General features: G+C 35.8%; 1 protein-coding gene across 2 annotated transcripts in view, besides 1 other annotated feature; it reads left to right on the top strand.

Annotated features, from left to right (window-relative positions):
* The window catches only part of ZFHX4 (zinc finger homeobox 4), a 186,035-nt gene that overhangs the window by 121,654 nt on the left and 40,149 nt on the right, over window positions 1-24,232 (top strand). The window lies entirely within an intron of this gene.
* Window positions 8,550-8,609: a silencer, noted in NCBI's record as "silent region_19305". NCBI's record gives its function as "represses an Ori minimal core promoter by ATAC-STARR-seq in GM12878 lymphoblastoid cells {active_cell/tissue: GM12878}" and the evidence as "EXISTENCE:reporter gene assay evidence [ECO:0000049][PMID:35858748]".

Here is a 24,232-nt window from a genome sequence, read left to right on the forward strand (position 1 = left end):
TGTAAATGCCCTTATTACGTAAGAGAAAATAATAAGAAATCCTTTATATCTAATGGTACTTATTTAGACTTGAAGTCCTAGACCACAGAGCAAGGCCAAAGAAGTCTTTTGTATCCTTTAGTGGCTCTGAGACCGAAAAGTGTGATATTTTCTATGATAGCCCATTTTTCACTAATTCCTGTCAGCACACTTGAGCTGTCAACCAACAGTAAGCAATATCCATTTAACAGGAAAGACGCAAATTTACTCTAAAATATTTTTGAGCAAGGGAAATTCCTCTGTCTAGTACAGAAATAAAAATCCAGCCTTTTCTTTTGGAAGAATATAAATCAATATTGTGTGTGTGTGCATGCGCGTGTGTGCGTGTGTGTGTGTGTGTGTGTGGTATGACCGAAAGAAGAGGGTAAGGTGGCATATGTAGCAGGTCTTTTGATGTTTGAAAATTAGTGTTAACATTTTTAAAAGGTAAAATAGCCACGAATTTAATATTTATCCTTGTAAACTGCATTTATATAATTAAGAAAAGTAACTAAATTTCTTTGACAATGTTTATTTACACTAATTATTCTTAATTAAACTCTAAATAGGTCTTTCTTGGTAGAGTGTGAATCATGACTCAAATGTAACCTCCTAAGAGTAGTGGAGGACAGTGTAGTCAATGTTATCAAAATGTTTGGTGTTTGTGTCTATCCTCAGCTGAATTACTTCTAAAAAGTATAAAGTAGCTCTAATGATTGCACACTCATTTTTGTTCTTTTTAGTTTGAGAAATATTTGATTTAATATAAGCCACCAATTTTACACCTGAAGTCAATATAAATAGGGCAAATAAACAAGAAAGCCACAAATACTCATTCAACATCAGTAGGGATATTTTTGCCTTATTATGTTACATTTAGTTTTAAATTAAAACCCATTTTGACAATACACCAATAAAAAGATAGTAAGTATATATCATTTGCCTGAAGAAATAAATGATGCTAAATATTTTATATTCACATTGTAATTATACAAAAGTGATTTGCCCTAGATTTTGAAATACTCCTGCATTAACATTTGATTATAATTCAGACTTAGAATTTTTGCATTAAGTCCAGCAGTCTTTTTAATGTCTGAGAAAATACTCACCTCAAAATGCAACAAGGAATCTGAGATGGTTTCCTTTTGATGTTTCCAAAACATTAGAAAATATTCAAATGCCTTATTCCTGCCATAATAAAATATTATTTTATGAAAGGAAGCCTGTAGCTGTGTAAAGTCATGATTGATTTAACATCAGGTAATTTGTGAAGTTATGACACTAATGGAAGCAACGTGAGGAAAACAATCAAGGCTTTTCCACCGTAGAGTTGAGTGTAACACAATGTCCAAAATTTAATTTTTCAAAAATCAATCATACTTTTAATTTTTAATTTAAAAACTATATAAGACAATGTATATTTAGTGACTTTATGATTTCTAGTAACAGAGGAATTTGAATAGCGAAGTAGTCATTTAATATTTTTAAAGATAGAAAGCATAAACTGTTAAGGAATCAAAGCATTTTTAGTGAGTACCATAAATACCTGAAAATAAATACTTCCACTTAAAACAAATTATTATTCTTGACTCAGTCGACAAATCTATATACTGAAGAAAAGAGAAAAATACATATATATTATCATTTTTCACTGGCTTTTCAAACATTACCTTTAAAAAGGAAATGTGAGTTTGCAGAATTTGCCCTGCCCCTGGAAAAGCACTCCATCAGGTGGAAACTTCCCCAAGTTTAGTTTATTAACATGGAAGAGAGAAATTAATTAATTATGTTTGTTGATTTGGGGTTACCTTTAAATATTTATTTATTTAACCATCCACTGGGAGGTTTAAAGTCGGATTAAGTGAGGTGAGAGGTCATGGCGAAATTCCACAGCTGCATTTGTGGAGAAGGATCCCAAAGTGAACTGTTGCTGTGTTGTTCACTCACTGGGTTAGATCGAAGCACAGCTCAATAGCATTAAACTAGCCCCCGTTTGAGAGATTTGTCTTACAAAACCCTGAAAACTGCTCTGAACATGCATACATTGATTTTGTTACTGGAATCTCCTGAGCTTTGATGAAAAGGCAGCCTCCACATGCAGGTGAAAGGGGTTTACCTCTTCAATATTAAAAAGAGAAGATTAAGGATTTCTGTTCTACTAAGGCTGAACTAATCAGTGGCATACAAGGGTAAGAAAGTAGTCCTCATGCCTAACGCTGCCTGATTTTCTGTGGTTGAACAAGAAGTTAAAAATCCCTCATGTGACCTTCTATGTGCTGTAGCTTACTGTTATTCCATTTTGTACAGTTAATCAAATGGCATATGGCGCATAACCAAATTTGTTTCCACATTTTCCAGAAGATAGCCACTGACTTTAGTAAGGGATACTCACTTTAGCTGTAATATTAAAAATGAGGTTGTTGTAAAGGATAAAGGGAAAAATGCATCTAAAAGAAATCAGATCATAAAGGACTACCTAATTTAGTATGCACTAAAGATATATAGCTATTTTGAATTTTTGATATGAAGTTTCAATCTATTACATTTACTTCCACTGAGGCTGAAACTAATGATTTTCATAATTTCTGGCTTTTTCTCTACAGAACAAGAATCATCAGTGAGCTCAGCAGAGAATACTTGGCATTTGTCCTTGGTGTGAATGACACTTAGGCTTTTTTTTTTTTTTGTAGTCAGAGATTACATGCAACTTTACTATTTTTTATAAGCATCAGAGGATTATGTTGTCCCTTAGATAGTTTGCACACATCATGTCTCAGCAGGGAATTCCAGAATGAAATGAATGCACTTCTTCTACAAGAAGAACAATTTTACACCCTGTAGCACTAATTCCTGTAATTATTTGTGTCCATCTTAGCCATGATTTGGGTAAAGTGATATGAAACCTTTCTGAAATTACGGTGTAAGTACGCCTTTAGGGGAAAAAAAAAGGTTTAAATAAACTAGCCATGCTGTGAGATTTCATATATTGTAAGATATCTGAAATGCAACAAATTTATCTAGAATCAAGTCTTATCAACCATGTCTTTGATCTATTGTAAAAAATACAATAATGATCCTGAAATAAACACTACAAAAGCAGATCAAGCAAGATAAGAGAATTTCAGAAATTAGATAACCTTCATTTCCCATCCTTTATAGGAATCACTGGGTTTGCCTTTTAGGCATGTGTTGCCTGCACTTTCTCATGACTCACTCAGCATGGTTCATCATCTTCAAGCAGATCTCCTTTTCTATCACTGTTAAATTACAACATCCCACTCAAATAACACGTAGCATGATCATCCAAAAGACAAGATGCCTAGCTCCAAACCATTTGATGTCTTATGTTATTAAGATGATAACGAGTGAACACAGGGAAATGATGAGATGGCCGTATGAAATTCTTGAGATCTGACCAGTGGACTATGGGTGTAGACTCAGTGTCATTCTTACTAAAGTAGTCAACATTCTCCAAAGCCTGCTGTGAGAAAGGTAGGCTCTATTATTTTTGGTTATAGGTAAAATGGGATTAATGACACAGAAAAAATATTAGCAAATAATTTTTTAAGAGGTGTAAATCTGGCTGAGGTAATGATAATTTATTTTATCGGACAGAGCCAATACATTAGTTAGGTCCAATGAACAGGTATTTTTAGGTAGTTCTGTACTTTCTTTTTAATAATATAATTGGAAGTTTATAACTTTCAAGAGATTAAAAGAACTAAGCTTTTAATTATTTTTGTTACATGGATTTATAGCTTGAATCTTAAAATATATAAATTTTTCTATAGTCATTTCCAAGTGTCCCCAAGAGTTCTTAAAGAGAATTTAGGTACTGGGATAAAATCCAAAATGTTTTTGATTTTTTTTGTTTTTGTTATTTCGGTCCTTGCAAGCCAATTCATAAAGATGCCTTTTTCACCTCTTTGATGTGATAAGGAAGTGTTAAATTAAAGTGAATCCCCTATTTGAGATTTGGGATTCACCTTGGGACTGAATAGTGCTTAAGCCAATTGTTACTACTCCTGAGTGTTTAGGCTGGGAACCACACATCTCTCTCTGCAGATCAGAGAGGCCTGTGACAGGCATCCTTTGCCACTTGCTATCACTTAATTAGCATGATCATCTGATTTCTCCTTGGAAATAATGGCATCATGCACTTTTTAGTAAATGTAATCATCACAATATATTCCAAATTCTGTTACACCAATATTATGTGATTAAACTAATTTTGTAGGAGGGGTTTCTTTTATCTGAACATTTGAATCTGTGATTTTTTTTACTCCCATCCACTCCAAATTTTTCTGACAAGTTTAGAGCAAATCGAAAACACAAGTGGTATAGTGGTATAGCAGAACCACCAAAGACGGTGCACAGAGAAAAACTAAAGGCTAACCTTTAAATTACTGAAAACATCTTTTGTATCCATAGTGGATATAATGAATGAATGAAGATTCACAGTAAATGTAAAGATGATTAAAAATAGATTCTGAACAAGCAGAATTAGATTGGCAGCTTTCTCTCTCCTACCAGGAATTGCATGTCAGTAAATGAGTAGGGGGTTTCTGTTTGGGATAGCTTCTTTCTCATACAGACAGCTCTGTATAGTGAAGAATATGAGGACAAGACAATTGGGCTATAAGAGAGGTAGTATAGGCTGGGGACATTACCATCTTAAACCAAAAAGCCACACCTATAGTTTTGAATTCCTGAAAAAGAGTAACACTGGCCACACATATTACAATCAGGCTGTTGGAGACTCAGCCCTGTTAAGATGCCATTCCCCATGGAGATCATTCAGTTTTGTTCTTCTGATATAATGTTAGAAATTGCAGTTAAAGATTTACAATCAATGCCTCCTTCTGTATCCAGAGTTCCCTTTTAGTGGCAATAAAGACACAACAAATAAGTGGATAGTAATGATTTTGAAATACATGTATAAATCTTATCTATGCATGTTTTTATTCATCCATACTATATAATAGTTTAATTTTCTGTATTAGTTTTATTCTTCATGAAAACCCTGATAAAAATAAATTATAAAATATAATAACTGGTAGATTATCAAAATAATACAACATAGCCTTGTGTGGTTCCCTTGCAATGTTGTTGAATAAATATGGCCTTAAACACATATATACAGTATTTCCAATAGGAAATATAATTATTGTCTTTAAAAAATTCCATAAACTGTTATTTTTAGCTACCATTGATTATAATATAACCAGTATATTCAAGTTAGTGTTCTTGTTAGTCAATAGAAGCCAAAAAAACTTTTACTAGTCAATTGTTCAAAGATTTCATTTGTTTACACAGTTTTAAAATGTGCCATATCTAAACCACTTGCTTTGAAAAATAGCCCCTCTTTTTCTAATAGTCACCCAAATAATCTATCTAAACATTCTTCCTTCTGTAATACTAAAAGGAAAATAAAAGTGTAAGGTTGACTTACCTTTTCCTATATCTTTTAATTCTGTTTAAATTTCTATCCTTTCTTTGTGTTGTTTTGCGCATTCCTACATCTTGCAGTATGGTACACTGCGAAGACCTAGTAAGCGAGTTAAAGGCTGATGACGCTAACGAATCCCAGCGCAAATGACTGAATCGATAGGAAACCAGCCACTGCTGTTTAAGTGTATCGATAAATGTACCTTTATTTTCTCTTGAATGGATAAGTGTCGCAGTTAAGAGTCCTATGGATCTCTTAATTGAAAGTTAATTTTAAATCAATAAAGTGAGTCATTTAAATATTGATTGGCCCTTTCTACACGAATTGTTAGCTGATTTTTTTGCAACAACTTTGTTTAAATGCAATCAATAGCCCACAATCATTGTGTTCTATAAAAAATTGACAGATGTTCCCAAAATGCCTGCTAGGCATATTCTTATCTGTTTACATATTCAGCAAAGATATTTCAGTCCTTTTCGCACTTACCTAGATGGTTAGAGGTCCAGGAATCTTTCTCTGTCTCTGTCTCTCTCTATCTCTCTGTCTCTCTCTCTCTCTCTCTCTCTCACACACACACACACACACAAACACACCACACCTTATTTTCCTTTAATACCAGGGTTGTTTTTTTCTGTTACATCCAGCCTCTTATCTAGTGCACCTTAATCTTTCATTTACATCTCCAAAGATTTGAATGAAAAGACCATCTGGATATCATACCCGTATCACTCAAACATCTCTGTGATTGCAATTTGAAAAAGAAAGCAGTGTTATATACCCCTAAAAATCTAGACATTTGGAATATAGTCTTTAGTACTTTTATGTCATAATATATTGGCAATACTGCTTGAATAACGCTTGTCTTGGTACTTTTATGTCCTAATATATTGGCAATACTGCTTGAATAACCATTGTCTTCTAATGAAACAGGGCATTTTTGCAAGTGTGAATGTGGTTATCTAGCACAAGGCTAGCAAATAATTTTGATCTGTGTAGCTTCCCTTAGATATCATCTCTTAAGCATAACAGCACATAGCCATGTTTTCTTTTTTTCCAGTTTGACAAAGAAAGCAGCAAATTTAAAAGAATACAAATTGTATTACATGAAATTCATTGTGATTAACCTAATAAAGTAAACGAAGGTACTTGTAGCTTTCCTCATATCAGCAAATATGAATATTTTATTCTTGGCTTCAAAATTTCCCTGAGAAATAGTCTAAAAACTGTAGAACCATTATCAGTACCCCTTTCCACAGAAGGGTTAATTTTGAATAGTACTTCTAATGACTGTCTAATACTTTTATGAGGCCACTAATTGAAGGTGCTAGGCTTTGTTTTCCCTTCTGAAATTTCCATGTGTAAAAATACCATTAATAAATGCTCTTTTGGATTGGGAAGGTGAATCAAATTAGTAATTAAAAAATTAAAATGTATAAATAATAGAATTTGTGTGATTAGTGACATTTGATAATATAAAATAACCCAGAGTTAACTTACGGTCTTACGTTGATTGATATTTGACCAAAAAGTAAAAAATACAGCATAATTATATTTTTATTCCGAAGACCCAGTCAAAAATGCAAGTCCTATCATTAAACTTCTATCAATAAATATGATAAAATTGAATATAGTAACTTTTCATCCTTCCCCATTTTTTTGAAGGTTAAAAAATATCAACCTAAAGTGTAAATATTTGAGAATTGCCAAGTTAAGAGCCTAAGCTTGGATGCCACATAGTTTTAACATTTGTTATTCTTATAAACTCTTTCACTGTTCTGCAAATTCATTCTTATTTCATCTTGCATTGTTTTCCTCTTAAAATAACATCTCAGAACTTATTTCATTTTCAGCACTACAAAACCTATATCAAAAGGGAAGCTTTAAAAGAAATGGCGGGGTATCATTAGTTCATATGCATAGGAGTTCAGCATGTGAAGATGCTGTGTCTAGGATCAGCCTTAAGATGTGACTGATAGATCTTATTTGTCTGATAGAGCTGGCCAGAGAAATAGAGCTACAGCTGGTTACTTCATTAGGTCCTCTCATTGATTGAACCCTGCTGAAGTGATGCAGCAGGCTCCTCAGATAACTGCTGGTAATAGAACAAAATGAATTCTTATCACAGAGATTGGAAAGGCCATTAACCCTGGCCTCCAATGCTTTTCAGAGGTCACAGACAGGAAGCCAAGCAGTGACTGGGAAAACTGTTTTCTGTCTAACTACAGGTCACGTTAGAAGGGTGTGTGTGACTTTTTTACCCTTCGGCTTCTGTATGGATGAAACCGTTATACTGGCAGATGTTAATAATCAGCTGTAAATAAATATTGGAACCAGAAGAAGAAAAATGAGAAGGCACAGGAATTTATTTCAATAAATATTTAATAAAAGAACAATTGTTGCAGGTATATTTACTGCCAGTTCTGTTGTAGTTTTAAAACTAATATTTTTTTTCATATAAATTGGAACGAGAAATACATAGAGGCACTTTAAAAAGGAAATTTAATATAGGTCTCTATAAAAATGTTTCCTTCCTTCCTTTCTGTCCTTCAGAGATGGCGATAATAATTGCTCATGGCTGCTTCGCTTCCCCTCCTTGCTAAGAAGCTACTAGGCCATCTCTGAATGAGCCCGACGCTCTGCTTAACTTTCACCTGGTGGGAAGCAGTATATATCTAAAGAGCAGTCCTATAATTTACATTGAATGCAACCTTTCAGTTGACCAAGAGCCCACAAGCTAAACCCTCATCTCACGGCTAAGGACTTCCCCACATTTGTCAGTCTCTGCCACTCCAGGATCAGCTAAAAGATCCACCCATTTAAAGCCAGAGCCCCACATGACAGTTTTTCTGCCTCTGTGAGGAGAGTAGTCCTTAGGGCCCCTGCTGGTATTTTTACACATTTAGCCTGAGACAGAAAACTTTTAAAATTAGGAAATCTTCACGAAGGATGCACCTCATAGAAAGAAAAGGAGCAGTTTCTTTTCATAACTAATGTGCACTATTTGACTGTCCATGTATGTATGAGGTTGTACTACAGACTATTTTTAACAATATGTTGGTGGCTTCTATACTTATGACTGTGATTTCATTTCAGTGTCTGTGGTTGTGTGGTATTCTCTGTTAGAGCCAATCTTTCACTAGGAGTTAGTTTATTTCAATGTAATTGGGTCCTGTGGATGGAAAAAAAACTACTGATGTTATGTGTTTGGAGACCCACCCAGACATTTGGTTTGGCCTTCTGTACATAAATAATAACAAGAAGGTGTATGCTGTCATTGCCCTGCTTGAAACACCAGAAGTGGTTTGGCAGGAAAGACACCAAAACAGATTACTCCAGATAAACATACAATCAGATGCTTCTATGCATTAGGTTATTAGGTTATACATATGTATACAAAGTTATAGATTGTGGCCAGGCGTGGTGGCACATGCCTGTAATCCTAGCTACTCCGGAGCCTGAGGCAGGAGAATGGCTTGAACCCGGGAGGCGGAGGTTGCTGTGAGCTGAAATCACGCCATTGCACTCCAGCCTGGGCAACAAGAGCGAAATTCCGTCTCAAAAAAAATAAAAAAGTTATAGATTGTATTTTGGATTCCTTGTAGATTATAAGAAACAGAAAACCCTATCAAGGTCAAGAACGCACCTATCTAAATTGCTTTAAAATAGTTTAATTTTATGAGTTAATTATTTTTAGCATGAGCTTGTATTTAATTGAGCCAATATTAAGAAAATCATGTTTACAATTGCATTAAGTAAAAAACATCTAGGGCATCAACTTCTAAATGAAAGATTAAGTTGTATGTTTGTACGTTGCTTTTTGGTATAAAACTTTTCGTTGATTTACTTCATGAGTTAATAAATAATGCTTTAAAAATCTAATTAAGTAAATGCTTTTGCTTATCTCATTTATCAAGAATTTTAAATTCTGTTGCAGATGTTTCAGGGAATGACACAGAGGCCTGGAATTTTAGCTTGTGATACCTGGGGTGAAACTCATGAAACTTTTAGACTTGTAATGAGTTGAGTTGTGCACTCTCAACCTTAGCAGTGGAACTCTGAGTTCTGTGCATATTGTCTAATAAAGAACAGGCATTATTTCTTTTAGTTGGATTTCAGTACAAGTATATTTGACAAACTTAGGTTTTAAATTTCTTATACAGTAAGTAGCATTAGGTATTATTAAGCCAAATTTAAGAAACAGAAAATATGCTTTTCAGAAAATGAATATTGATATTTTTACTTTTTATCCATGTTAACTAAAAGTCATAATACTTATTTCATATGTACCCTCAAAAATCTGTAATTTTTAAGCATTTATCTCCATCTTTTAACGTCAATGAGTTAAAGAAAGGAAAGAGTTATATTTTTAGGTTCCATAAAGATTGTAACGAAAAAAATGGATTTGCGGTACACAGTGAATGAGTTTTTCTGTCTAACATATTATGTAATTTACAATTGCAGGTAAAATTTGTTGTTTTATAGTTTTTTAAAAAAATGTATTTGATGGCATTCAACTAGATTAATTTTCTCAAGAGCCAGTTAAGCTTCATTAACATATTTGCAAATGGTAACTATTATTATGAATGTTTAAGATAGTGATGGCAGCTGTGAGGCAAGAATTACATACTATTGTGATATTTAAAAGCCTCAATTTTTAAATTGCTTCATGGCCTTTCTCAGGATCTTTAATGCTACTAATATCATATACATATGCATAAAAGTAAAAATTCTAAAAATTTGTTTCTTTATAATCTTTTTAACATGCTTTTGTATTTTGTAAGAAAATCTTGACTTTGGGATTTATTGGGGGAGGGGAAGAACTCTCTGTTACTTAGCAAACGATTTGAAATAAACACTGTTAGTTTTCAATCTGTTCTACTTGTGGATTTTACTAAACTTTTCTAAAGGCACCTTTTTCCCCGGTACAGTCTCGTAAGAATTTTCTTTTATTGAGAATATTCACAAGTTTATTATAAGAAGAAAAAGAACTTTACAAAAGTTAGTGAGCCAAAAATATCATCATCTTTCATTGTTTTCATATTTCTCTTAGGTATTTAGGTGATAAAATTTGTGGTTGAGATTTTTGGAGAATTAAAAAGGATGTCTGGAAATCAACTTTATTTAAAAACCAAGCTGAAAGATTAAAATCTCTTCTTCCTCTTGAGTTTGGCTTTCAAATCAAAATTTTTCCTACTTTTTGTAGAATACATATTACATTTTATGAAGTTGCTTTGCATACTGGAACTTTTATGCCTTTTTGAAAGTATTTTTTGTCTGGAACTGAAATTCTCAAGATTATGCCCAAAACTAGCCAGAATACAGAAACAATGGATGTTCTCCTGGTAATCTACACTCTCTAGGTTACATTTGTCTGTTGTTCTTCATTGTATATTTAATAATCTGTGTTCTATGTAAGAGTTAAGTGTTTGGAGAGGCCCATTAGCACTTCTAGGCTCCTAGAATAACAATTCTTGGGAATATGTAAGCATATGATTCCAAAGCATTTGATTATTTCAGTTTAAAAAATTAGATTCCTTTTGGACTTTATATTACAGAAAAAAATGCAATCTTTTTTTTTCTTTAAAAGAGGAGTACTTTTTGCTTTTATATTAATGATCAGCTGATTTGTCTTCATGTAGACATGTCCATGTAGTTTGACAATAACCGTCATCATGCTATTCTTCCGTAACATTGTCTTTTTTTATTTAAAAAAAAGATTTTAGAGACAGAGTCTCACACTGTCACCCAAGCTGGAGTGCAGTGGTGCAATAATGGCTCACTGCAGCCTTGAACTTCTGGGCACAAGTGATCTGTCACCTCAGCCTCCTGAACAGCTGGGATTACAGGTGTATACCACCCTGCTCTGCCAACATTCTCATTAATAATTATTAAAAACGAAAAAGAAGCTAAAACATTGTGACTGTTCCAATTAGATGACTTAATCCTTGGTTTTCTGGTAAATGAAAAAGTTTTACATCAATATGATAAAAGAGAATGGAGATTACTTTTCTTAGAGTTATGTAACATCCACAAAATAGCTTATCTAGGCTATTTGTGCAAAGTTCATTAACCTGAGACCCATGGACCCAGGAATTCCATGGCTTCTTGTAATTGTCTACAAAATTATTCGTATGTACAGTTTTATACGAAGAAGGTCTATAACTCCCACTAGATTACTAATACTTTTGAAAAACAAATGCTGTTCCTTAAGAATGCTGAAATTAGAAAAATATAGTTTGATATATACCTAAACTACATTTTGAAAGATGGAGCCACTCTCTTTGGCATTACTGTGTTTAATGCCATCCCTGAAACCCCACTCCACTAATCTTACCATGTATTCAGGTGAGGGACTGGTGCCTCTCTAGCATCCTGCCTGCGTGGACAAACCTCCTTTCCCCTCGTTCAAGCTCCTAACTTCAGAACTTCCTAGGTCCATTGTCTTTTTGAAGAAACCATCTTAGAAAGATGGTCTCTAAATTAAACTGACTGTAGTAGTATCCAGAGTCACCTTTGTGCTTCTGTTCTTTGAGGTTTCAGCTTTAAGCACTCAGTCAAAAACAAATTCACTTCAGTGATTTAGAATAGCCTGTAATGGAGAAAGAGGGTGGAAAGGTGGTAGAAAATGATGTATCTAGTTCCTTTAGAAGAAAGGAAAGGGGAAAAGAGTTAAGCATAAAGCAGAGTAATATGAAATAAGAATGAATAAGGTTATAAGAGGTAGGTCTAGCAAGAGAGTGAGGGAAATTATTTGCAGTATGGTTAGAATGTGGAGGAGTTACTCAGAAGACTTGAGATAATGAATATGAACATACTTTGAAAAGTATTAAGGGTTATGCAAATATAAAGGACAAGAAGGTTAATAATGTGAAAGGGAATGTGAGAAAGGAAGGTTGTAAAACTAAGCTCACTGTCTTAGTCTGTTTGGGCTGCTATAACAAAACACCATACAATGCGTAGCTTATAAACAACAGGTGTTTGTTTCTTATAGTTCTGCAGGCTGGGAAGTCCAAGATCAAGGTGCCAGCCAATTAGATGTCTGGTGAGGACCCACTTTCCCATAAATGGTACCTTATTGCAGTATCCTCACATGGTGGAAGGGATTAGCTATCACTCTGCATTTTATTTTTTTAAATTTATTTATTTATTTTTGAGACAAGGTCTTGCTTTATTGCCCAGGCTGGAGTGCAGTGGCATGATCGTGACTCACTGTAGCCTCGAAATCCTGGGCTCAAGTGATCCTCCTGCCTCAGCCTCTGGGATAACTGGGACTACAGGCACGTGCCACCATGACTGGCTAATTTTTTATTTTTTGTAGAGATAGGGTCTTACTATATTGCCTAGGCTGTTCTTGAACTACTGGGCTCCAGAAATTCTCCCGCCTTGGTCTCCCAAAGTGCTGAGATCGTAGGCTTGAACCACTGCATCTGGCCTGCAATTTCTTTCATAAAGACACTAAACCCAAACGCCCCACCTGTTAATACCATTACCTTGGGGGCTAGGATTTCAACATATGAATTTAGGGGCAGACATAAACATTCAAACCATAGCACTCACAAGTAACATGTATGAGGTAAAGGTGAATTACTGTCCAGTCTTATGAGGTCTTGTCGTTAACCTTGTTGCTAGTACCTGTAATTTGATGAAAATAATTGCAGATGATCAGATAATGGGAAAGCCAAAAGAATCCTTAAAACTCACCTAGGTCCACTCCCTCATTTTACAGCTGAGGAAGCAGAGGCTCCCTGTAGTTTCATTACTCAAAGTCACAAAGCTAATTCATGGTGCAACCCAAGCTTCTGATTCCCAATTCAGCATTGCTTTATTTATTTGTATCATATTTTGCTATTTATATAGGTTGAGTGGAAAGTTTTAAAAGATGACCATTGTCCTTATTTTATCATTTGTCTATAAACTGTTTCTCCTTGATAGAACATTTTTTTAAACGTCATAATAGAGGATAAGATACATATTGCACTGATTCTCCCCTCTCCCACCAAGTTGCTTGTTCTGGGTTCTTTTGCCTCAAGAATATTTGGCTCCTATTACCTGCATATCACTTCTCATAATAGTGGGTGGATGTTTTGTCTCCTTCTCCAGATTCAAGCTCCTTGAGGGCACAAGAAGGTTGTTTTCATCTTAGGAGCTCCTAGCCAGATATGGCTCTTGCCACCTAGGGAGCTGTGACTGAGCTGTGAGTGCCTGTGTGTTAATTTAAATGTCTTTTTTTTTTTTTTTTTTTTTTGAGACAGAGTCTTGCTCTTGTCACCCAGGCTGGAGTGCAGTGGCACGAACTCGGCTCACTGCAACCTCCGCCTCCTGGGTTCAAGCAATTCTCCTGCCTCAGCCTCCTGAGTAGTTGGGATTACAGGCGCCTGCAACCATGCCCGGCTAATTTTTGTATTTTTAGTAGAGACGTGGTTTCTCCATGTTGGTCAGGCTAGTCTGGAACTCCTGACCTCAGGTGATCTGCCCGCCTTGGCCTCTCAAAATGCTGGGATTACAGGTGTGAGCCACCGTGCCCAGCCTTAAATGTCTTTTATGCTATAAGTTAAAATGTCTAACTCTGTCATTATTTCTAGTTCTTAAAACACTTTGTTAACTGTTACACATTTCCAGTGAGATGTAAACAAACAGTTTGAGAAATGGCAGATCAGGAGTTTAAGCAAATTAGGGTAGATTAGGAAACACTTTAAAAAAAAGGTTCAGCTAAAGTTAAATGAAACAGCAGGAGGCCACATGATATGCTTTACAGATAGAATATTGTGGATTGTTGGAGCTTAATAGGCAAATGTTCTCATTTTAAGGGTTATAAAATAATTTTTAACTGCAATTCCTGTGCTTAAAAGAAATAAAATCCCTTTTAAAGAAAAAAAAATGAGAAATTGAGAAAGTACTATTGGTACTTGCTCATAAGATTTTTTTCTTCTGAGCCTGCTTCAAAGCAGCGTTTTCACACTCAGTCTTCTTCTCATTTGTAGAAATGATATTGATCCTTTGAAGATTTTTTTTTGTCCAAATTCTCATAGTTCATAAAATTAAAAGTCAAGTTGACAGTCTGTTTCAGCCCTCTCAGCCAGATCTTCCTTGACCATGGTTCTCAAGGGAAGCGTGGGGAGGTGATTTTATTACCATTTTGCAATAATTGTATACTCTTATTTCATCCTCCAGAGCTTTTCTTTCAAGCAAGAATGTGTTTGGACTTCAAAGAATTAAATGCATACAACTTGCACATTCACAAACCAGTAACAAGAAGGGACTAGGAAAAGGAAAACAGTGCAGGGTAACTTATTTCTACAATGTGTATTGGGAGAGAAAAGGAGAAAGAATTGCTAACAAAGCTGGCATATAACCGTGAAGAACTTGTCTCCCTCTTTAGCCTATTTCAATTGGATTTTAAACTCCTGTCCCATTGAGCAAGAATACCAGATACTTGCATCTAATAGCAAATGTGGCAAATACTTGATGAATTAATTGGAATCAGAATCAGAATGAAGTGGAGAAAAGGACCCTTCTTTAGTATCTGGAAGATTCTTCTACTACTACCATTATTGGTTGTAGAAATCACTTGAAAGGAATCCACTGAGCAACAGCTCTGGGTTTAGCATTTGGCCTGGGGCTGTGAGAGATAGAAAAGTGAAAGTTCCCTGCCCTCAAGGAGTTTAGAGGCTGCCTAGAGGACAGAATCAATGAACTTGTCACCATAAACCAGGTAAATTAGGACATTTTGAGGGAATTCAAGTTCAGTAATGTTTAGAGGAACATTGAAACTGGGATTTGATATGGCTGATGGAGGTATGAGGACATGAAAATTGAGTAGGGAAGGAAAATGAAATAAGGTTTTATTTATTTCTCTCTTTGTGTGTTTCTTTATTTGCTTATTTATTTTGGCATTGTCCTTAGGGTTAAGAGGAGGAATGGCATGATGCAGACTCAGAGATGAAAGACAATTGATAAGACTGCGGGAGAAGCAAGAAACTATACTAAAAGACTATTAATGACCATTTAGGAGAAAGCAATAAAAATTAACTAGATAGTTAAGATTATGGAATGCCTTGAAGACCAAGCAAAGTTTGGATTCGATAAAGGAGAAAATAAGAAAGTACCAAAGCTTTTGATTGTATGAATGGCGTTGTTGAAGAGCTGTTTTAGAAGCAAGAGGACCTGGAGGCAGAGAGCTCATTCAAAGCCAGTCAACATACTGGGAGGCTGGCACTGAGGTAGGGCCCAACACATAGAAAAGAGCATTAAAAATGAATCTAGAACAGTCACGGTGGCTCACGCCTATAATGCCAGCACTTTGGGAGGCCGAGGCAGGGAGATCACTTGAGCCCAGGAGTTTGAGACTAAGCAAGCCTGGGCAACACAGGGAGACCTTGTCTCTACTAAAAATAAAAATTAAAAAATTAACCAGGCAAGGTGACACATTTCTGTAGTCCCAGCTATTCAGGAGGCAGGAGGATCCACTGAGCATAAGATGTTGAGGCTACAGTGAGCCATGTTCATGACACTGCACTCCAGCCTAGGTGACACAGCGAGACCTTGCCTAAAAAAAAAGAAAAGAAATCCAGAGTAAACTTACCAACTAAATAGAAGCAATGAAGGAGGAGCCAAGGGTCCCACTAAAGGTTGAAGCTTGGTGACTATAGAAAACTTCACAGCCTGATTAGGCATGGTGAAGGGGCCCTGATAGTAAGGCAGTACATTTTCCCCTTTCAGACAAAATGCTTTAAACTAGTGTGGGAAGGGGAGGGGAAGTAATGTGCTCATAAAGGTTTTTTTTTTTTTTTTTTTTTAACTCACAAAAAGTATTCATTTTTCCTCATGATTTTAATGGGCTTTTGGTAGTTTTAATAAAACAGTGTTGGGGCTCTGTTTTATTTATAACATTTAGAGCTTATGTTAGCCTATTAATGTCATTTATGCTGAATAAAGTGGAAATATTTCATGGAATGTGGAATAATGTAAGTCATTTTTATATCTTTCTAAATAAAAAGGATTGATTAAACAGAAATACCTATAAACTATTCTTTTGGAACTTCCGTAATGGGACTATCAGGGTGTCTTGCACCTAGTAAGTGTTCAATATGTACTCCTTGAATATGTAAATATAAATAAACCCAGAACTAGGCCATTAGGTGAACTAGACATGAGGTGAAATGGAGCATTCGTGGTGGGTGCCGCTCTTCTGGGAGAACAATGGGCAGAAGTTCATTTGTCCCTGTCTATAGGACTTTTGGTGAGACAGGATCACCTCCATGCATTTGGCAGGAAGAAGGAAGACAGAGTGCCCCAGCACCAGCTTATAAGTATTGTGCAACCGTTTCACGGGTATCACAGGAAAGATGGGGTGCCGTGGAACAAATGAAAACTGATTCTCCAATATTCCATTTGGCCTCACCCTATTACATTCTAATTTTGTGGATATATATAAGAGATTCTTCCCAACAATTAATAGTGTATGCAAAAAGCAGTGTATTTTCAACCCTTGCAAGCAACTTGGGCAAATTAGAGGGTGGTTTTCTTCACTCTGGAAATAGACTTCTAGAGTATTTAGGGTGATACAACATCTGCTTCCTCTGAGGACAAAAGTGAGGATCAGAGTAAAGAGATGTATATGAGAACATTACAAAAATATTGGCCATATAAAAGATGCAGTTTATTCCCACGTTACTTACATTTTTCAGTGAATGTACTTTTGCTATTCTTTCTATGTCCTAGTAACAGCATTGTTAAAAATCCTCCAAAGGGAATTCTGCCTTTGGCTGAAATTATTTACCTTAGTAGAGATGTTTTTAATTCTAGTTTGTATATGTGAAGTAAACAAAAATAAATGATTTTAAAAATTCAATTTCTTTACCACCAATATCGTCATCCTTCCAAACACACTTTTTATTTTTTTCAGATTACCGTATATTTTGCACATTTTTTTACTTTTGAATTCTGGTAATCATTTATGAATTAATTGTTCATACTTAAGTTCATTTTCCCCTACTACTTGCTGTTATCATGTATTGTAATGATGTATTTGCTCTTTTGCACAATTATTTTTTGTTTGAATCATAAGATGTTTATGGCAGTGTGACTTCAGCCTATATGTCACCTTTTACACTAGTGATGATTATGACATGCTTCATCTGATTAGTCATGCAGCAAATTTAATGGGTGTGTGGAAAAGAGTACCAATTTGCCACACACTTTTGAGGCCTTTTAATGATCTTGTGCCAAAATCCTAAAATACATGTGCCATATGCATTATATATTGTTTAGTTTTTCTGATCAAACTTGGGACTATTACAAAAATTACAGTGTGATGGTATTGCCATAAAACTTAAGAGTTTAATAGGAAAGTGTTTATGTTCCATAGGGATTTTCATCTTTGTTGATAAGTTTTATTGCTTATAGCCTCCATGATACCTACAATGAAAAAGTAATGGTGTTGGCTCATAGCTAGATAGGATTGCTAGCCAGATCTTTATGCAACAAAAATGATTACAGTCACTGTGTATCACAAACAGGCAATGGGTGTGTATTATATGCTAAAACCAGATGACTTTTGCTTTCTGAACCTCTTTTTTAGTCCCTGTCTTGTATTGTTCGCATCCATTTTGGTGCCTCTTTTCTCTGTCCTTCCTACTCTGCCAACTCTCCTCCCCAATTATTGTCATAATCCTGCTTCAGGATGATAAGCCCTAGTCTCAATTTCATTGACTTTTGTGATAATTTGGCTTTCACCCTCAATGTTTTTCAGACATCTACACCTAGGTCCATCCTATGACACCTGTCACTGCTTCACTCTCTTCTGCATTATTAATTTTTCCCTTTCCACTAGCTCATTCCCATCATCATCTCAACCTTCCCTACTTATAAAACCCTCCCTAATGTTACATCTACCTTCAGATACCACCCTATTTCTCTGGTCATTTTTACAGCAGACACTTCTGAGAATTTTCCACACTTGACATCTCCAGTTTTTTCATCTTCTTTTTCCTTTCTACCCACGTTCAGGAGGTGTTTGCACTCACACCATTCTACTAAAGAAGCTCCAATCAGGGACTCTGTTGACCTGTTCTTTGGCAAACCTAATGACCAATTCCTAGTCGGCCTAACTACGATAGCTAGCAGCTTTTAACAAGCTGACCTCTTCCTTCTTTCTGAGATTTTTTTTTTTTTTCACTAGGCTGTCTATACCACATCCTCTCTTGGTTTTCTCCTACCTCATTCCTGATCAGTTTTCTTCATTGGTGCTTCCTTGTTTTGGGAGGAAATCGTGGGACTCTTTCACCTCAGCACAGGCAGTAAAAACAATACATTCCCTGTAGGGAACTGAAATAAAGAAAAAACAGCAATAAAACTGACTAAAAGTTGGCCTGCTGTATTTTTGTTTTTACCAGGTACTGGCACTTCTAAATATTGTCGATGATAAATCACCTCTTGCATCTGGTTGTAGACTGCTACAGTGCCCCCAGCTTTGGTATGCCTTTTGTAGGAGTGAATCCCAGGCTCAATCATGGACCCTCATTCTCTAGGTTATCTCATTCAATCTCATCTCAAAAACTTAAACTACCATTAATGCATTGTCCTCTCTTCCCCTCCACTTGCTCTCTGTTTCTCTATCTCTCTCTCTGTTTCTGCCCCTGTCTCTCCACATACACACACATGCACACACCCCTTCATACCCTTGCCTACTTGACACCTTTACTTGCCTATATAAACAAAAAATCTCAAACTAAACATATCCAAACCTTCTTTTTACTCTCACTTGCTCCACCTGCATTTTCCCTCATCTTAGTAAATGGCATCTTAATTCTTATTTCTTGGGCCAAAAACATTGGAATAATCATTGATTCTTTTCAGTTTCTCCCATTCCTCATTAGACCCATTGGCAAGTCCTATCTACTGCTCTTTCAAAATATATACCAGTTTCTCTACTGACTCCTTGGTCCAAGACACCATCATCTCTGACAATATCAACAGTGACCTTATTTTACTTGACTTCTCTCTATAATTTTATACTTGTGATTCCAAGGTTTTTTTCCTTTGGCCACTATTTTACCAATCACTATCTGATCCTGTGTCTACCTCTTTTTTTTTTTTTTTTTTTTTTGAGATGGTCTCATTATTGCAGTGGCAAGATCATAGCTCACTGCAGCCTCAAACTCCTGGGCTCAAGTGATCCTCCCCACCTCAGTATCCTGAGTAACTCGGACTACAGGTGTGCTCCACCATGCCTGGCTAATTTTGTTTTTGTTTGTTGTAGAGATGGGGTCTTACTGTCTTGAACTTCTTGTCTTGAACTTCTGGCCTCAAGTGATCCCCCATCTTGGCCTCTTAAAGTGCTAGGATTACAGGCATGAGGCACCACTCCCAGCTCCTCTTTGTTCTTTCTCAGTATCTTTTGTCATCCTTCAGTGTCACTTAATTTCTTGATTTTTGTTCCCTAGAGTTTTGCCCTTACCCTTCATCGTCCGTACTCTATATATTCTAAGAAGTGTCATTTACTCACAAGTCATTGGTTAGTAACATTTTCAAATATATTCAACTCAGTTTTCTCTTCCAAGATCTAGTCCCATAAACTTATATGTTTACTAAACCTCTCTACTCAAATTCATGTTCAAAATTGAGCTTATCATCTTTTCTCTTGACCTAATCTTGGACTTTTTAACATTTCTTTTCTCTCCAGTGAAATGACTCTACTACCTTTCTCTACAATTTCTTCCAGACAGTTATAATTTGAAGTGTGATGGATGCTATAGTGTCTCCTTTTTTTTTTTTTTTTTAACAGTGAGACACCTCTTCCTCTATTTAATCCTCTGCACAGCATCCCACAGAAGAAAATATGATCATGGCACCTCTGCTTAAAACCCCCCATGCTGCCAAAATCCAAGGAACTCTTTGCCAATACATGCATACAGGCACAGGAAAAAATAAATTGGCTATGTCTCAGAAGCCATTTTTTCTGCTGCTCACACAGTCCAAAGAGAGCAGTGTGCCAAATCTCATCAATCTGTTTGCTCATTAATGAATGATTTATTAAATAAACATTTCATGGATATGCATAAGTATTGTCTTGAAAATTCATAGCAGGTTCCAATAGCACATTTTTCATCTTGGCTCCAAGCTAGCTTCTCTAATCTTCCTTTTCTGGGGCTATGAATACTTTCACTAACTTTTCCTTTCCAGATTTCTTTCACTTATGTTTGTATCAATCACTGCCTAGGTCAGATCTCATAAGTATAATTTGGTGTATATAACTACATAAATCTGACCTTTTTGAATGTGATGAGATGCAGAAATTTCCAAGCCAAGCATTATTTACATAGAATTTAGGAAACTTTACTGCATCTTAGGTTAATGGTAAATTTATTTCAACAATTATCATGTTGGTAAAAAACATTATCTAGTTATCTGAGGATTTTCTTTTATGGTCATATATAATTCACAAAATAAATAACCCAACCTATGAGAAGCAATAATTTCTCCCATGTATACAATTGTAAAGGGTAGTTTATTATAAGTAGTAGCGATGCATTCCATGGCAGGATATATAAACATTAAATATTTAGGAAGTATAGTAGCAAGATTTTATTTATTTGTTTTGCATGCATACCTAGAGATGGTGATAGCAACTTACATTTCATCCTTACAGTGACTAGGTGTGATAGCAAGAAAGAAGGTAATTGTATCCCGATTTTACAGATGAGGACACTGGTGCCAACATATTAATAGATCAGTTTAAATTTTTACAGTTTGAAGAAAAGTGTTCCTTATTGAGCTTCTTATTTTATGCATTTCCTATTGAACACTGCCTTTGTGAAAGCTCTAAAGTATTATCTATCTTTGGTTTCATTATGAATTGTTTTCAAGAAAAATAAATGTTTTGTGTCTTAATGGTGTGTTCAGTAAGGCATATGATTTAGGTGACTGCAACACAGGGAATAATCTAGAAAATTACTCAAATCCAATATTTGTGTACAGATGAAAATTTTTAGTTTTGCAGACTGCCACATTTGTAGGCCTATATATTCTGAGATTGTTCGTATCTTCTCATCAAGTTTTTCTCTTACCAGAAGGTGGATGGTGGAAGTTTGGTATGGGGAGCAGAGGATCCCTTCTTTTGCAAGGAAAAAAACCTACCTAGGGCTGACTTGTCTATTACTACCAGTCCTTCAAAGTTCATATTCTGTCACAGTAATTTTAGTTTATTTTTATTTTCATTTTTTGAGACAGGGTCTCACTTTGATCCTGAGACTAGAGTGCAGTAGCATGAGTATAGCTCACTGCAACCTCAAACTCCTGGGCTCAACCAATCCTCCTGCCTCAGCCTCTGGATTAGCTGGGACTACAGGCATGTGCCACTCTACCTGGCTAATTATTTTCATGTTTTGTAGAGACAGGGTCTCCCTTTGTTGCCAGGCTGCTCTCGAACTCCGGCTCAGGTGATCCTCCTGCTTCGGCCTCCCAAAGTGCTGGGATTACAGGAGTGAGTCACTGCGGGCCTCACTATGATTTTTGTAAAACGCCAAGCCTTTACAAATTGATACACATACTGCTTTTATTGCAGCATGTGTAAAATTTGCTTAGGGATTTACTTAAAAAAATAACTTTTAAACTACAATGCTTAAGAAATCGATGTTTAGTCTTGTTAACATTTGCTACCTCCAAAATATCTGCACAAATAATAGTGATATTTTAAAGGCCTAAAACACTAACTTAACTGATGGACAAAGAGTACATTACTTATAAATACAATCTAAAAAGCCATAGTACCAAATTGATATAGTCTTTTCTTTGAGTAACTTGTGTTCAGCAGGATTGATCAAAGCCAGAGAAGAATTATGCATAAGTACAACTACTACTTATTCAATACTACACACTTTGTATTTATTAACTTTGCTCCTTAATACCATCCTGCAAACTTATTATTGTTTCCACTTTCACATATAGAATCCTGAATGTCAGGGAAGTTAAGTAACTTGGAGAGTATCAAATAGCTAGAAACTGGTGGAGCTGGGATTCAAGCCCAAGTGTATATGGATTTGGTTCTTAACTCCATGGCGTTTCTTCCTTGCTCGAAGAGCAGCCAACGTTCTCCTAATGAAATACTTCTTTGAACAACGTAGGTTTCTGAGGGCAGGGTTGCTGTAGCAGAAGTTGGCAATTTTATGTCACTGATGTTTCACCTTTTATCTTTGCTTGCTCAAACTGCTCAAGCAAAAAGAATAAATCTCAGATAGTTAAGAAAGAATTGACCATTATTTCAACACAGGGGTTATGTTCTCTGATTCTTCACAGCAAGAGTGAATGATGGTTTCATGGATAATGTCTCCAAAGAAATATGCCCAAGTAACTCATTGCGATGAAAATAAAATATTGGGAATTATGAAATTAGAGAGTCAAGAAAGCATTTTTAAAAACTTGTGACATTGATTCAACTCTATGGTTGTAGTCCTTTAAAAACAGTGCAGCCTTAGAGGGAGGCACCTATCATCACAGGTCTTTGAGATGAAAGTGTAAGAGAAGTTATAGAAGCTTCCAAGAACCAAATAATATCACTGAGCCAAAGAAATGCAGCTTGCTTGAGAGTAAAGGTACCTTTGTATGTTAGGCCGTTTTTGCATCACTCTGAAGAAATATCTGAGGCAGAGTAATTTATGAGGAAAAGAAGCTTAATTGGCTTATGGTTCTGTAGGCTGTATAAGCATTGCACCAGTATCTGCTCTTGGTGATGGCCTCAGTAAGCTTCCAATCATGGCAGAAGGCAAAGGGAAAGCAGGCACATCACATGGCAAGAGTGGGATCAAAAGGGAGAGGGAAGGGGAAGGTCCCAGACTCTTTTAAACAACCACATCTTGCATGAACTGAGTGAGAACTCACTTGTCACCAAGGGAATGGTGCTAAGCCATTCATGAGGAATTTGCCCTTGTGATCCAATCACCTCCCACCAGACCCTACCTCCAACACTGGGAAACACATTTCAACATGAGTTCCAGAGGGGACAAACATCCAAACCATATCACCCTGTAAGGAGTCTCTGAAAGAGTTAAAGGAAGTAAAGATAAAGAAGTACTGCTGGATAACTATTTTTTTCTTATCGTTAAAAAATAGTTTCAAAAGGCTTTTGACCTAGTATACAGCTATTTGAAAAACGTAGTAACTGTGGAATAGAAAATAGAGGCTTTCATGAATTAAAAACTAGCTATGAGACAACATTGGATGAACCCTATCATGAAAAGAGAAATATTGTATGATTCCACTAAAGCAGTCTAAAGTACTTAAAATAGTCAAATTTATAAATCAAAGAGTAGAATGGTGGTTGCCAGGGACTGAGGGGTATGAGAAATGGGGAGTTATAAACAAGGGACATAAAGTTTCAGTTAAGTAATAGGAGTAAGTTCTAGAGATCTGCTGCACAACATTATACCTATAGGCAACAATACTGTATTGTGCACATAAACATTTGTTAAGATAGTAAACCTCATGTTTAGTGTTCTTACCACAATAAAATAAAAGCTGGTTTTGAGATAGGAAGCAAAGAGTTGAAATAACTAGCCAGTGCTCAGCACAAACAAAGGCTATTATTGGGTGGAAGAGGGATCAGTTTATGGATAGGGATCAGTTCCTATGCTGATGAGCAACCTAGCAAAGCCAGCACAGTAGGCTGAGGAATGAAATTTCTTCTAGACAATAAAGAGAAATTTTGATGAATCCCATAAGGCAGTGGTCTCCAACCTTTTTGGCACCAGGAACTGGTTTAATGGAAGA

This window comes from Homo sapiens, chromosome 8 (genome assembly GCF_000001405.40).
Source record: "Homo sapiens chromosome 8, GRCh38.p14 Primary Assembly".
In the NCBI taxonomy this organism is placed as follows: domain Eukaryota; kingdom Metazoa; phylum Chordata; class Mammalia; order Primates; family Hominidae; genus Homo; species Homo sapiens.